The sequence below is a fragment of the Homo sapiens genome, chromosome 6 (assembly GCF_000001405.40).
Source record: "Homo sapiens chromosome 6, GRCh38.p14 Primary Assembly".
NCBI lineage: Eukaryota > Metazoa > Chordata > Mammalia > Primates > Hominidae > Homo > Homo sapiens.
In genome coordinates, this window is record NC_000006.12 from 158,646,684 (window position 1) to 158,660,182 (window position 13,499).

Below are 13,499 nucleotides of genomic sequence, written 5' to 3' on the forward strand. Positions count from 1 at the left end.
ACCACACCTGGTCTTCCTCTCCTTGGATTCTGAACTTTATCTACCTTTTGAATTCCTTTCTTATTACCTGGCTTCAACTCCCCTGTCCTGGTGTTTCAGTCGTGCGCCTCAGTCCACATGTGATTCTGATGCTGACATTGCTTTGCCTGCCTGCCCTTCTCAGTATCACCTGAGATCTCGTTTTGGATGTTCTCTGCCTACCTGGTTCCAAGCTCTTGGCCCCACCACGATCCTGAGCCAATCAGGAGCCTCTGAAATCTTTTTTCTTCTGCTACTTTGTTGTGGACCTGGAGTTCAGTAGCTAAGTGTCACAGAATTATGTGCAAAGCAAGAGTAAACCGGTTCTGAGCAAACACCTGCAATGGAAGAACATGACACTTGGGACAGCCTTTTCAATTTTCCCCACAACCTTTTAGGAACTTCCTAATTTAAATCAATTTCCTGAATGTCTGCTAGGATGGTGCATAATTAATGCATGGATCTTGTTATAACTGCGGATCACCAGCATGCACATAAATCAACAGAAAACATGCAAATGTGCATTTTAAAAATGCTTACATGATTTTAGCTTTTATACATTGGGTACCACTCTCCAATTTTAACTATTAAAGAACATTTGTTAAATGATCGCGATGTATGACATTTTGAGGCTGCCAGTAAACGGATGAGCTGGTCTGTTTATCTTCACAACTATCTGTTCACTTGTTCAATACACATATATGGAGCACTCCCTTTGTGTCAGGCTCTGAGCTGGGGGTTGAGGCTACAAAGTTGACTAAAACATGGCCTTTATGGAATTTTTTCTTTTAAACGGATATATCTGTAAATAGGAGGGTTTGAATTCTCTAGGCTTATGTGATGTTGTAGTGCTTGGAAAAATGCAGTGATGTGGTATTATATTCTGCCCAACTGATGTAGTCTGTAGGGCTAAGGAATTTAAAATCGTTAAGACATTTGGCAGTTCACCAGATGCCATTTCCAGCACCTTCCATCTGCCACGAATGGATGTCCATCAGAAGCATTGGAGCTCAGACACCTTTACTCGTAACTGCTCATGAATCTTTGGCATTCTGCCATATTTTAGAATAATGTTTAGTTTCTATGCAGTAAGTCAGTGGAGTGAATCTTAGGTTTGTTTTTCAATTTGGAGGTTAGTGATAGGTTGGCAGGTTTGCGTGCAATCACCTTTCTTTTCTGGAGTCAAATTTCTTGAATACAGACTGTGGGACTGGAGCTGCCAATACCTTTATTTAGCAAGTGTGGGCCTAATAATCATAGCAATCAATGAACTGTCACATCAATAAATAACATCAATAATATCCAGCAGTGGCTGGGCGCAGTGGCTCACACCTGTAATCCCAGTACTTTGGGAGGCTGAGGTGGGCAGATCACCAGAGGTCGGGAGTTCGAGACTAGCCTGACCAACATGGAGAAACCCTATCTCTACTAAAAATACAAAATTAGCCAGGCATGGTGGTGCATGCTTGTAATCCCAGCTACTTGGGAGGCTGAGGCAGGAGAATCGCTTGAACCCAGGAGGCAGAGATTGCGGTGAGCTGAGATAGCGCCATTGCACTCCAGCCCGGGTAACAAGAGCGAAACTCCGTCTCAAAAAATAAAATAATAGGCCAGGCGTGGTGGCTCACGCCTGTAATCCCAGCACTTTGGGAGGCCGAGGCGGGCGGATCACGAGGTCAGGAGATCGAGACCATCCTGGCTAACACGGTGAAACCCTGTATCTACTAAAAATACAAAAAATTAGCTGGGTGCGGTGGTGGGCGCCTGTAGTCCCAGCTACTCGGGAGGCTGAGGCAGGAGAATAGCGTGAACCCGGGAGGCGGAGCTTGCAGTGAGCCGAGATCGCGCCACTGCAGTCCCGACTGGGTGAAAGAGCGAGACTCGGTCTCAAAAAAAAAAAAAAAAAAATAATAATAATAATAATATCCAGCAGTGTTGTTCTGCTATAATCTGCAGCCCTTCATAGTCCAAATGCCATCCTGTGGATTTTCCATTTTTTCCTTTCTTCCCCTGTGCCAAGAAGTGTGTTACTATGAGATCATGCTGAGTCAAAATAATAGTAACAGAAGAAGACGATGAGGACGAGGGTGCTGTTGAAACACTCATGGCTGAGGAATTTAATGTTGTAAAGGAAAAGAAACTCTGGCTGACACATATCTAAAGTGAGAGTCCTGTGCTGAGAAAAGCTAAAGAGATTAGCTAAGAAGTGCCTATATTTAGATCTGCTATTGAGCTGGGAAGCGGAGGCACAGTTGTGCTGAAATACCTCTGTACCCCATGAAACAGTGGCTGCTCTGAGCTTCTTGGGTCCCTCTTCCTCTCAATCCTGGTGACTGCAGCCCCTTCCCTGGGACCTCATCCCCAAGATCCAATAACTAAAGGATAACTCGTGGTATAGCAGGGCCTCCGCTGGCATTTGTTCCAATGGGTAAATATTCATGCTATAGTAGTTATTAAATAGTTTGGTGCTCAGTTCTGTGTTTGTGAAAACACTACACACTACATCAGCAGAATAGGCTAGGTTAGCTGCAGAAACAAATGGCCCTACACTCTCAGTGGTTGATGACAGCAAACATTTATTTGCCACTCACACTCCATGACCATCAAGGATCTTCCATGGCTCTGCTTCATGTCTTCTCCATGCTGAGACGAGGTTGCTGGAGCAGCCTGTGTCTGGAGTCATCAAGGGAAAGAGAAGGGAAAGAGAATGAATGGTGGCCCCAGTACTGGCTCGGTAGGTGCCAAGCCTACGTGGCACGTGGCACCTTTGCACACACTTCATTGTCTTATTGCTCTCCAGAGCAAGTCCTTGGCCATGCCTGAGTTAGCAGGGCAGGGACACTTCACGGTGCTGAGTAATACTACCTAGTACACGCACAGCATTTTGAAGGTTCCCCTTGGTGATTTCATTACAATCTTCATCGCTCTTGGCCTGGCTGTCCCCCTTTCTTGTAAATTATTCTTGAGTTAATAGCTGTTCTTTGAGATGTGGTTAGTCATTTACACTGAAGTCAATGTGAAACCCTTCACAAATGTGAGAACATTTGAATATTTGAAGGCTGTAGTCTCTGTAGGGAGTTTCCTTAGGAAGGGTGAAACATTTCACCAGCATCAGCCTGGTCTTTCCTCCAGCTAAAAATGTAAAATGTTGGCATAGAAGAGCTCCTTGATGTGGTTTTGGGGTGGCTTTGCTCCCTGGGTCCCTAGTGATGTGGGAGTAGCCACCGAGGCATGTAAGGCTGGCCACACAGGGTGCACTGCGTCAGCCTGTGCCCGACAGGAAGGGAAGAGAAATACGTCAGTTACTCTAACAAGAAGAATTGACTTCCTTCTCTGCAGAGCCGGCTCTGGTCTCTTCTCTTGAAGCAGATGCGAAGGTAGGATGAGAAGGCATGGCTGGCCGTTGCAGCAGGTCGTTTTAGGAGTGGGGGAGTGGGGTGGGTAGAGATTATAGTTATTGTAACTTTTCTTAAATTTATGACATTGAAAAGGTAGGAAACAAAACATAATAAATTAGATAAAAGATATCTTGTAATTTTATTGAATAACATACATTTAACATTTGAGATAATAATGATTTAAGTGATATGGTGGAAGTGACTTCAGAGTTAATTAAAAACCAAAACAAAACAGAAAAACACTATCCAAAAGCTATATGGTGTGATTTTTTTTTTTAAAGGGTAGAGTGTCATTTGCTTTCTTCTTTGGTTTGCAAATTCTTATACTTACAGTTTATTACTATTTTGCTCTCTCTGAATCGACTTTATTGTTTTGATCATCCGTAATTTCTCGTTTGGAGGTGGAACATAAATATCATTTTGGAATTATAAAAAAGTTAGCTAGGGTCTAATTTAAATTTCTTTTAATTAAGCTTCCTTAATCTCTAAATTGCTTGGTAAGAAAGAGACTATGAGAGGAAAGTGCACATTAGATATTAAAGATTTATTAAATTAGAATTGGGCTGGGTGCGGTGGCTCACGCCTGTAATCCCAGTACTTTGGGAGGCCAAGGTGGGTAGATCCCTTGAGATCAGGAATTTGAGACCAGCCTGGCCAACATGATGAAACCCCATCTCTAAAAAAAAAAAAAAAATACAAAAATTAGCTGGGTGTGGTGGCAGGCACCTGTAATCCCAGCTGCCCAGGAGGCTGAGGCACGAGAATCACTTGAACCTGGGAGGCGGAGGTGGCAGTGAGCCAAGATCCTGCCACTGCAATCCAGCCTGGGCAACAGAGTAAGACTCCGTCTCAAAAAAAGAAAAAAAGAAATTAGAATTGGTGTAGAAAAGATTATTTAGCCAAGATAGTTGGAGATTCTAACTTAGCTGCTTTGCCTAAATGAAGCATAAGGTTTTGGAGTTAAACAGACCCAGTTTAGAGTGTGAGTTTAGGTAAGTTACTTAATCACTCCAAGACTCACTCTCCTCATCTGTAGAATGGGTACATTTACTTCATAATGTGGCAATAAGGATTAGTAGAGATAATGTATGCAAAGTACTTAAACTATCTGGTTCAGAGTAAGAGCTAAATAAATAGTAGCTGTTGGCACAACAGAAAGCATAACAACAATTGTGAGTAGTACCTAGAAGGATATAATAATATTAATTCTCGGCCGGGTGTGATGGCTCACGCCTGTCATCTCAGCACTTTGGGAGGCCTAGGCGGATGGATCATGAGGTCAAGAGATCGAGATCATCCTGGCCAACATGGTGAAACTCTACTAAAAAATACAAAAAAATTAGCTGGGTGTGGTGGCGGGCGCCTGTAGTCCCAGCTACTCAGGAGGCTGAGGCAGGGGAATTGCTTGAACCCGGGAGGTGGAGGTTGCAGTGAGCTGAGATCGCGCCACTGCACTCCAGCCTGGTGACAGAGCGAGACTCCATCTCAAATAAATAAATAAATAAATAAATAATAATATTAATTCTCATTTCTTTGCTCTTCCATACAAAGAGGTCAAGTTTAAAGTATGAATGCCATGGCTTCCTATTTCAGTCATGAATTCCTATTTCTGATTCTAAAGTAATATTTTTTGTTGTTTTTGGGTGGTAAAAGGCTCCCCGAATGAGAAAGAATACTCGGAATCAGCGGTGAATTGCAGTGATCTTTCAGAGAAAGCGCCTGTTCAACTTTGTCCTCTCTCAGGTAGGCTTCAAGTTTTATAGATTCAAGCCCACGTGTGAGTCTTCTAATGTTTTATTTATTTATTTATTTATTTTTATGTATTTTTATTTTTTTTTATTTATTTGAGATGGAGTCTCACTCTGTTGCCCAGGCTGGAGTGCAATGGCACGATCTCGGTTCACTGCAACCCCTGCCTCCCAGGTTCAAGTGATTCTCCTGCCTCAGCCTCCCCGGTAGCTAGGATTACAGGTGCCTGCCACCATGCCCAGATAATTTTTGTATTTTTAGTATAGATGAGGTTTCACCAGGTTGGCTAGGCTGGTCTCAAACTCCTGACCTCAGGTGATCCACCCACCTCGGCCTCCCAAAGTGTTGGGATTACAGGTGTGAGCCACCGAGCCCAGCCTGTTTATTTATTTACTTATTTTATTATTATTATTTTTTGAGACAGAGTCTCACTCTGTTGCCCAGGCTAGAGTGCAGTGGCTGCAATTTCAGCTCACTGCAAGCTCTGCCTCCCGGGTTAACACCATTCTCCTGCCTCAGCCTCCGAAGTAGCTGGGACTATAGGCACCTGCCGCCACACCTGGCTAATTTTTTTGTATTTTTAGTGGAGACAGGGTTTTAACATGTTGGCCAGGATGGTCTCCATCTCCTGACTTCATGATCCACCTGCCTCGTCCTCCCAAAGTGCTGGGATTACAAGCGTGAGCCACCACGCCCGGCCTTATTTATTTTTTTGAGACAGAGTCTCGCTCTGTCACCCAGGCTGGAGTGCAATGGCGCGATCTCAGCTCACTGCAACCTCCACCTCCCAGGTTCAAACAATTCTGTCTCAGCTTCCCGAGTAGCTGGGATTACAGGTGCCCACCACCATGCCCGGCTAATTTTTGTATTTTTAGTAAAGACAGGGTTTCACCATGTTGGCCAGGCTGGTCTCAAAACTCCTGACCTCGTGATCCACCCACCTCAGCTTCCCAAAGTGCTGGGATTACAGGCGTGAGCCACCGCACCCAGCCGAGTCTTCTAATGTGAAGTAGAGATATCTGAGGGACCTGAAACTTGTACAACTTGTGGAGACTTTGGGAAAACAAAGAGGGAACCAGGTACAGGGCATCTAGGGCCTTGGACAGGGCCGTGCAAATAAAGGATTCTGAAGTTGAGGTGTCATTCGCTTCCCAGAAAACCCACCTCTGAATGAGTAACAAGATAGACAGAAAATGTATAAACGCACATCTTCATTTCTGTGTCAGACTTTCTGATGGATATGCATGCGTGCTGTCTCATTGTTGCAAAAATGAGTCTTTTAAGCCTATGAATAGGGAACTGAGCTGAGAGCTGTTCTTTATTCATCACCTTCCTTTGTGGCTGTAATCAGCTTCCGTAAAGAATCTATGCAAGCAGGCCGGTCGCAGTGGCTCACACCTGTAATCCCAGCACTTTGGGAGGCCACGGTGGGCAGATCACCTGAGGTTGGGAGTTTGAGACCAGCCTGACCAACATGAAGAAACCCTGTCTCTACTAAAAATACAAAATTAGCGGAGGATGGTGGTGCATGCCTGTAATGTCAGCTACTCGGGAGGTTGAGGCAGGAGAATTTCATGAACCTGGGAGGCGGAGGTTGTGGTGAGCCAAGATCGCGCCATTGCATTCCCGCCTGGGCAACAAGAGCGAACTCCGTCTCAGAGAAAAAAAAAAAGAATCTATGCAAGCAAAAAAGTCATGAGGTTTTCAGGTAAAATTTCAAGGACAATGCAGTCACTCAACTTTTCCCCTGTGTACGAGGCAGAAAGCATGGTGGCTGCACGCTGAAGCTGTGAAACTTCTCAAGGAAATAGCTGTGGTAAACAATACAGGAGCGAGCTGCCGCCCGCTTGAAATGACCTGCAGGGCTGTGGCTTGTGGGCTTTGAGAACGTTCTGTAGTCTTCCCTTGAAAGCGTGTGTGGTGATGACAGTCACATTCACACGCACTCATGCTACCGCAGATCTCTGCATTTCCACTCTGGTGACGTTTCCCCCGTACCAGGGAGGGCTGAACATTTATTTCCTTTGATCTGATGACTGACTGCTCAGAGACAATAGATGATTGGATGAAAGAAATAGGGGCCCCTAAGAATAAACAATGTGTCCCTTTCCCATCCTCCTCATCTCTTTTCTTCATTGGTTTTACTTTTCTTGTACTTTTCCCCTTTCACCAGATTTAGAAGCCAAAGTCAAGATTTGCTGTTAGGCTGAGGAAAGCAAGCAGGCATTGTTTCAAACTCCTAGTGCATGGCTGACTATTTCAGTCCCCTGGCGGAGCTGTCCCACACGTCTCTCCCTGGGAAGCCCTCCCTGGTCCCACCAGCCCTCTCTGCTCCTGTGTGGAGTGACTCTTGCCTTCTGATCCTTGGGTTTTGTACTCATCCCACCATGTTATGAGTTATTTGTCTGTGTGTCCATGTTCTGGCTGGGATGGGTCCTTCTTAAATGCAGAGATTGAGTCTCACTTCTTTTTAGATCCTCGATATCTGGCACGTGCTTGATACATAGAGGCCAATAAAATCAGTGTTGAACTGACACACTCAATGCCGTAACCAAACTGTGTTTGTCTGGATGCCGAAGTTCCACTGGGATACAGCATGACCAGATAAAGACCAATGGAAACACCTAGATTGAAGTTTTCCCCATGGCTGCCCGCGTCCCTCCCAATCCCAGAACAGTGGCTTAACTTCCTACTCTTGGGCCTTCCTGAAGGGGAGATGGAAGGGTAGAAGAAACCCTTTTGAGTCGGGCTTGCTTTGTTCTGGCTGTTGCTCTAGGGCTGTGCCTGGATGACTCAGTGAGTTCCCCAAACAGCCCTGTGAAGCAGGGATGGCTCCATGTCACGGAGGAGGAAGGCCAGTCTCCCAGAGATGAAGCAGCTGGCCTGAGAGCACGTGGCTGAGTCCTGGCTGGGTATGAGCCCAGACTGTCTGGCTCCAAAAGTGACACAGAGACAGGATGGCTGAGTGTCGGGGGGGCTTCTCCACATGGCTGTAGGAGAATGTTTCCTTCCAGGTGGTGCTGTGGTGTGGGATTTATTCATTTTTAATTGCCAGATAAAATCAGGCTGATCGATGGAGTGCTGTAAAACAAAGACAGGCACCATTACAAAAATGTAGCAGGGGAGTTAGGAGACTGGATCTAAGCTCCGAGCAGGTGAGGACGGTGCCTGACTCAGTGCTTGGGACATCATAGAGCATTTAAGATCTTGTTGAGCAAATGATGGAGTGACCGAATAAATGTCATCCTGGGAAAATGGACCTAGGAGATTTCCGTATTCAAGCTATGAGATTGTGAATTCCTGCGTGAGATGATTAACATACAATTTCAAAGATTCCTGTTAAATTCCAAAATGACTCAGATTTTTCTATGCTTTTTGGATTTCTGAAGACTGAGGTTTTCTGCAGTGAGGACTCACTTGCCCCCTGCCCGTCCTTACTTCCTGCTGTACTTGAATATGGGCTTCCTGCCCTAGGAAGGAAGTTTGACATCGGAGTAAATCTCCGTGTCGCAATATTCTTCAGGTTTCTCAATTCAAGCCAAACATCAAGTGCCTCCTGGCTGGGTGATGGGGGAATCGCTGAAATCTGATATTGTCCCTAGAAGGCAAACACTCAAGACAGAATGAAATCAGGGTCACCATCGAAATATACAAATTAGAAAGCAGTTAAATTTGAAGGAGCAATGGATCTTTATTGTAAATGAGGAGAAAGTTTCTGAACTGGGTAGCCTTGATCTGGCCCTTGAAGGGCTAATAGTAAGAGTGAGGCTGCTCTTACTGTTAGTACCACGACTGTCAGCCGGCATTAGCTGAGTGTACTTATGAGCTGAGCACTGTGCTCTAGAGGTCTCCACATGCATCAGCACGTTTCGTCATCATAGCACCGCCGTGAAGTGGGTGCTGCACCTGTCTACTTCGTAGATGAGGACATGAAGCCCCAGAGGGCTTAAGTAACTTGCCCATCATCAGCTCAACAGCAAGTCGGTGGCAGAGGCAGCTACTCACCCACACAGCCAGCCCCCAGCCCTGGTCTCATGACTGTCCCCATCTCTTGCCTCATTGGGCAGAAGGAAGAGTGGGGCCGATGCGTGGAAATGCAGAGCGCATGTGGTCAGGGAATGGTCTTGAATGAGGTCAGTATGGGAGTGGCGAGCATTCTGTGGGAACTGAGGATGGAGGAGTCAGGAGAACTGGATCGGGAGGTCACGACTGGGATGCCTGTGCTTTAGAATGTGTTTACGGGAAGGGAAAACCAGCGTGACTTCACTGGAGAGTGGAAGAGTGACACATTCCCACCTCAGTATTGTCACATCTGCCGTCTCTCACCCTAGAGATGCCTTCTCCTCCTTTCCAATCCTCACACAACTCCCCTCTTCTCCCAGGCCTGGCGGTGGCGTCTCAGCCAGGCAGGTGTCCTGTCCTTTCCTGTCACCTGTCAGTCTTCCTCTTCCTCGTGGTCCATTCAGCAACATCACTGCTGCTCTGGGTGGTTGCATGTGGTCGTTTGCCTGCAAGCAGGTGGGTGCAGCCAGTTCAGGACCCCTGTGACAACTATTCCTGTTACCTGCTTTGTGAGTGTTAAAAATGTCATCCTTGGCCGGGTGCGATGGCTCACGCCTGTAATCCCAGCACTTTGGGAGGCTGAGGCGGGCAGATCACGAGGTCAGGAGATCGAGACCATCCTGGCTGACACGGTGAAACCCCATCTCTACTAAAAGTACAAAAAATTAGCCGGGCATGGTGGCAGGCGCCTGTAGTCCCAGCTACTCAGGAGGCTGAGGCAGGAGAATGGCGTAAACCCGGGAGGTGGAGCTTGCAGTGAGTGGAGATTGTGCCACTGCACTCCAGCCTGGGCGACAGAGCGAGACTCTGTCTCAAAAAAAAAAAAATCATCCACCTTACTCCCTTACTCTATTGTTGTAGAAGGGCCTGAAGCACAAACCTGGTGTTGTGTGGTGATGGCGGGACAGTGTGGAGAAATATGCAGCGAATTTTAATAGATTTCACAGAATTCCTTGACTACCTCATGTTCTACTTCAAAATGGCACAAAACCAAAAGCATTCAAGAGAGAATTACATTTGTTTTATCCATTTTTAAGACTATGTAAAGTAACTCCATGTGGTTTTTCATATCTTGCTAGTGTAAGTGACCAGAATTTAAATCTGTAAAGGTTCACTTTTTCTTGCTAATGCTGTGAGGTGTTTGGAAGTTATCTCTGATCTTCCTGGTACTTACTATAGGCTCATTCAGTTTACTAATTAACTCCATCTGCCACCTTAAAAACCCTTAGTAGTGGCCGGGCACGGTGACTCATGCCTGTAATCCCAGTACTTTGGGAGGCCGAGGCGGACAGATCAACTGAGGTCAGGAGTTCAAGACCAGTCTGGCCAACATGGTGAAACCCTTTCTCTACTAAAAATACAAAAATTAGCCGTGTGTGATGGCGCGTGCCTGTAATCCCAGCTACTCAGGAGGCTGAGTCAAGAGAATCGCTGGAACCTGGGAGGTAGAGGTTGTAGTGAGGCGAGATTGCACCATTGCACTCCAGCCTGGGTGGCAGAGCGAGACTCTGGCTCAAAAAAAAAAAAAAAAAAAAAGAGAGAAAAAGAAAAAAGAAAAAAAGAGAAACTGTTAATGGCTAGGAAAAACTTTATGAAAAAACAAAACAAAAAACCTGAAAGATAATTTTAAAATGAGTAAATTGTCACCTAGGCATACTTTGTCTTGGAAAAATAGACTATGACTCTGTCTCAAAAGAAAAGAAGTAAAGGGATAGTGAATGATAATATGTACTTGTATATGTAAACTGCATGAGAAGACAAGGTGAAATAGTCAGATGTTTGCATACATCAAATCATATTAAGGACATTGTCTGCAGACGCGGGCCATCAATACATGGCATAGTGATTCCAGTACCATAAGCAATGTTGCCCTCCATGATGTCTTTCTGAAACAATAAAAAATTCTTGTTAAAGTTTGAAATGAAACAAAATAGTCTTCCTTCCATTTACACACTAGTTGCATTTCTTTTTTTTTTTTTAACTTATTACTATTATTTTTTGAGACGGAGTCTTGCTCTGTCGCCCAGGCTGGAGTGCAGTGGCACTATCTCAGCTCACTGCAAGCTCTGCCTCCCAGGTTCATGCCATTCTCCTGCCCCAGCCTCCCAAGTAGGTGGGACTACAGGCGCCTGCCACAACACCCGGCTAATTTTTTGTATTTTTAGTAGAGACGGGGTTTCACTGTGTTAGCCAGGATGGTCTCAATCTCCTGACCTCGTGATCCGCCTGCCTCAGCCTCCCAAAGTTCTGGGATTACAGGCGTGAGCCACCACGCCCGGCCCACTAGTTGCATTTCTAGAACATTTGGAGTGTACAAAACCCTGCAAAATATACTTTTAAATATGAGTTAAATTCTGTTGTTAATTAAAATTTTTTTTTGCCTAAATGACTTGTATGATTTATATGAAAATGCAAGACAGTTATTTGTCGCTGTGACAATCATATATACTCCACACATTCCTAAAGATGGGGGTATGGTACTGCACTCATTGAAAAGCTGGAGCGAGTCCCGCTGAAATGAAGCAACTGTGGTTCAATCGAATGCCCAACGCCATCAAGCCAGTGGGGACACCAGTGGAACACTGGAAACCAAAGAGAAATGACCTTCATAGCTTTCTGGTCAATCTTGATGCTACCATAGGATGATGCTCTATGCTATACCTCTTGGATCGTTGCAAAAAGTTACCCCTTCTTTGGAGTGGACCTTCCAAAGTTAAACAGAAGAGTACGTCGGCCAGGCGCGGTAGCTCACGCCTATAATCCCAGCACTTTGGGAGGTCGAGGTGGGAGGATCACCTGAAGTCAGGAGTTTGAGACCAGCCTGGCCAACATGGTGAAACCCTGTCTGTACTAAAAATACAAAAAAAAATTAGCCAGGCATGGAGGCACACGCCTGTAGTCGCTACTACTCGGGAGGCTGAGGCAGGAGAATCACTTGAACCTGGGAGGCGGACGTTGCAGTGAGCAGAGATCATGCCATTGCACTCCAGCTTGGGTGACAAGAGCGAAACTCCATCTCAAAAAAAGAGGGTATGTCTCAATCTTATCAATAGAAGGCTTTACTCATAGTAGTTGCTAAACCATAGGGTTGGTTGATTGTTGTTCTAAGTGCTAACCAAGTGCTTGAGTGACATGGTTTATAGAAGCTAGAATCAAGGTTTAGAGAAACTAGGATCAAAGTCTCTAAAAGTGAAGAGTAACAATGATGGGATGAATGCGGAATACACATACCTCGAGTTCTCTAAGCTCAGTCCCAGGCAACTGGGAACACCAGAAGGTTTCCTGCTTTGGTCTGTATTTGAAATACTTCCAGTGAATTACAATGTAGTGTTATATCCTTGGCTTTAATTTGAGGTCAATATAGTGATACAGAAAGTACAGTTTTGCACATCTTCTGCCAAGCCAGAAGGAGCTGTCTGTCTAGGGAGTTGATCGTCTTAGTCTTTTCTTTTTTTTCTTCTTGAGACGGAGTTTCACTCTTGTTGCCCAGGCTGGAGTGCGATGGTGCGATCTTGGCTCACTGCAACCTCTGCCTCCCGGGTTCAAGTGATTCCCCTGCCTCAGCCTCCCGAGTAGCTGAGATTACAGGCATGTCCCACCAATCCTGGCTAATTTTGTATTTTTAGTAGAGACAGGGTTTCACCATGTTGGTCAGGCTGGTCTCCAACTCCTGACCTCAGTTGATCCGCCCGCCTCGGCCTCCCAGAGTGCTGGGATTACAAGCGTGAGCCACTGCACCTGGGCAATTGTCTTAGTCGTTTGCATTTTGAGGATGTCTTTCTGTATTTCTTTCAGTGTATTAAAGCTATAGACAGCATCTTGACTTTTCATTTCGTTTTGTTTTGCTTTGCCTTGGCTACCAGGAAGGTCAGAAATACATTTAAGGTTGAAGTGGTCACTGTTTTACTTCCTGTTCTTAGTAGAATTATCAGTCCTTTTTCACTGGCTGCTGATGTCTCTCTGACTTTATTTTAGCTGTCTTCTATAAGCTTTTATTGTAAGCTGCATCATATTTTTGTTAGATGTAGAATAGGGTATAAATGACCAGTCAGTCAAGTCATGAACCTTAAGAACCTTGAACAGGCCGGGCGTGGTGGTCCATGCCTATAATCCCAACACTTTGGGACGCCGAGGGCCTGAGGTCAGGAGTTCGAGACCAGCCTGACCAACATGGTGAAACCCCGTCTCTACTAAAAATACAAAAATTAGCCGGGCGTGGTGGCGGGCACCTGTAATCCCAGCTACTCGGAAGGCTGAAGCAGGAGAATTGCT

The 13,499-nt window shown here is 45.4% G+C and overlaps 1 protein-coding gene across 18 annotated transcripts in view; it reads left to right on the top strand.

The window, feature by feature from the left end:
- SYTL3 (synaptotagmin like 3) overlaps window positions 1-13,499 on the top strand; it is a 119,936-nt gene that overhangs the window by 1,748 nt on the left and 104,689 nt on the right. For 10 of the 18 annotated variants that reach the window (XM_047419553.1, NM_001242394.2, NM_001242395.2 and 7 more), the window contains exons 1-2: window positions 3,371-3,395; window positions 5,070-5,159. The gene's annotated coding sequence lies outside the window, so the exon portion shown is untranslated. Of the gene's footprint in view, window positions 1-3,370; window positions 3,396-5,069; window positions 5,160-13,499 lie in introns of those variants that run through there. The other 8 variants (XM_006715606.4, XM_047419556.1, XM_011536254.3 and 5 more) reach the window with 2 other exon arrangements.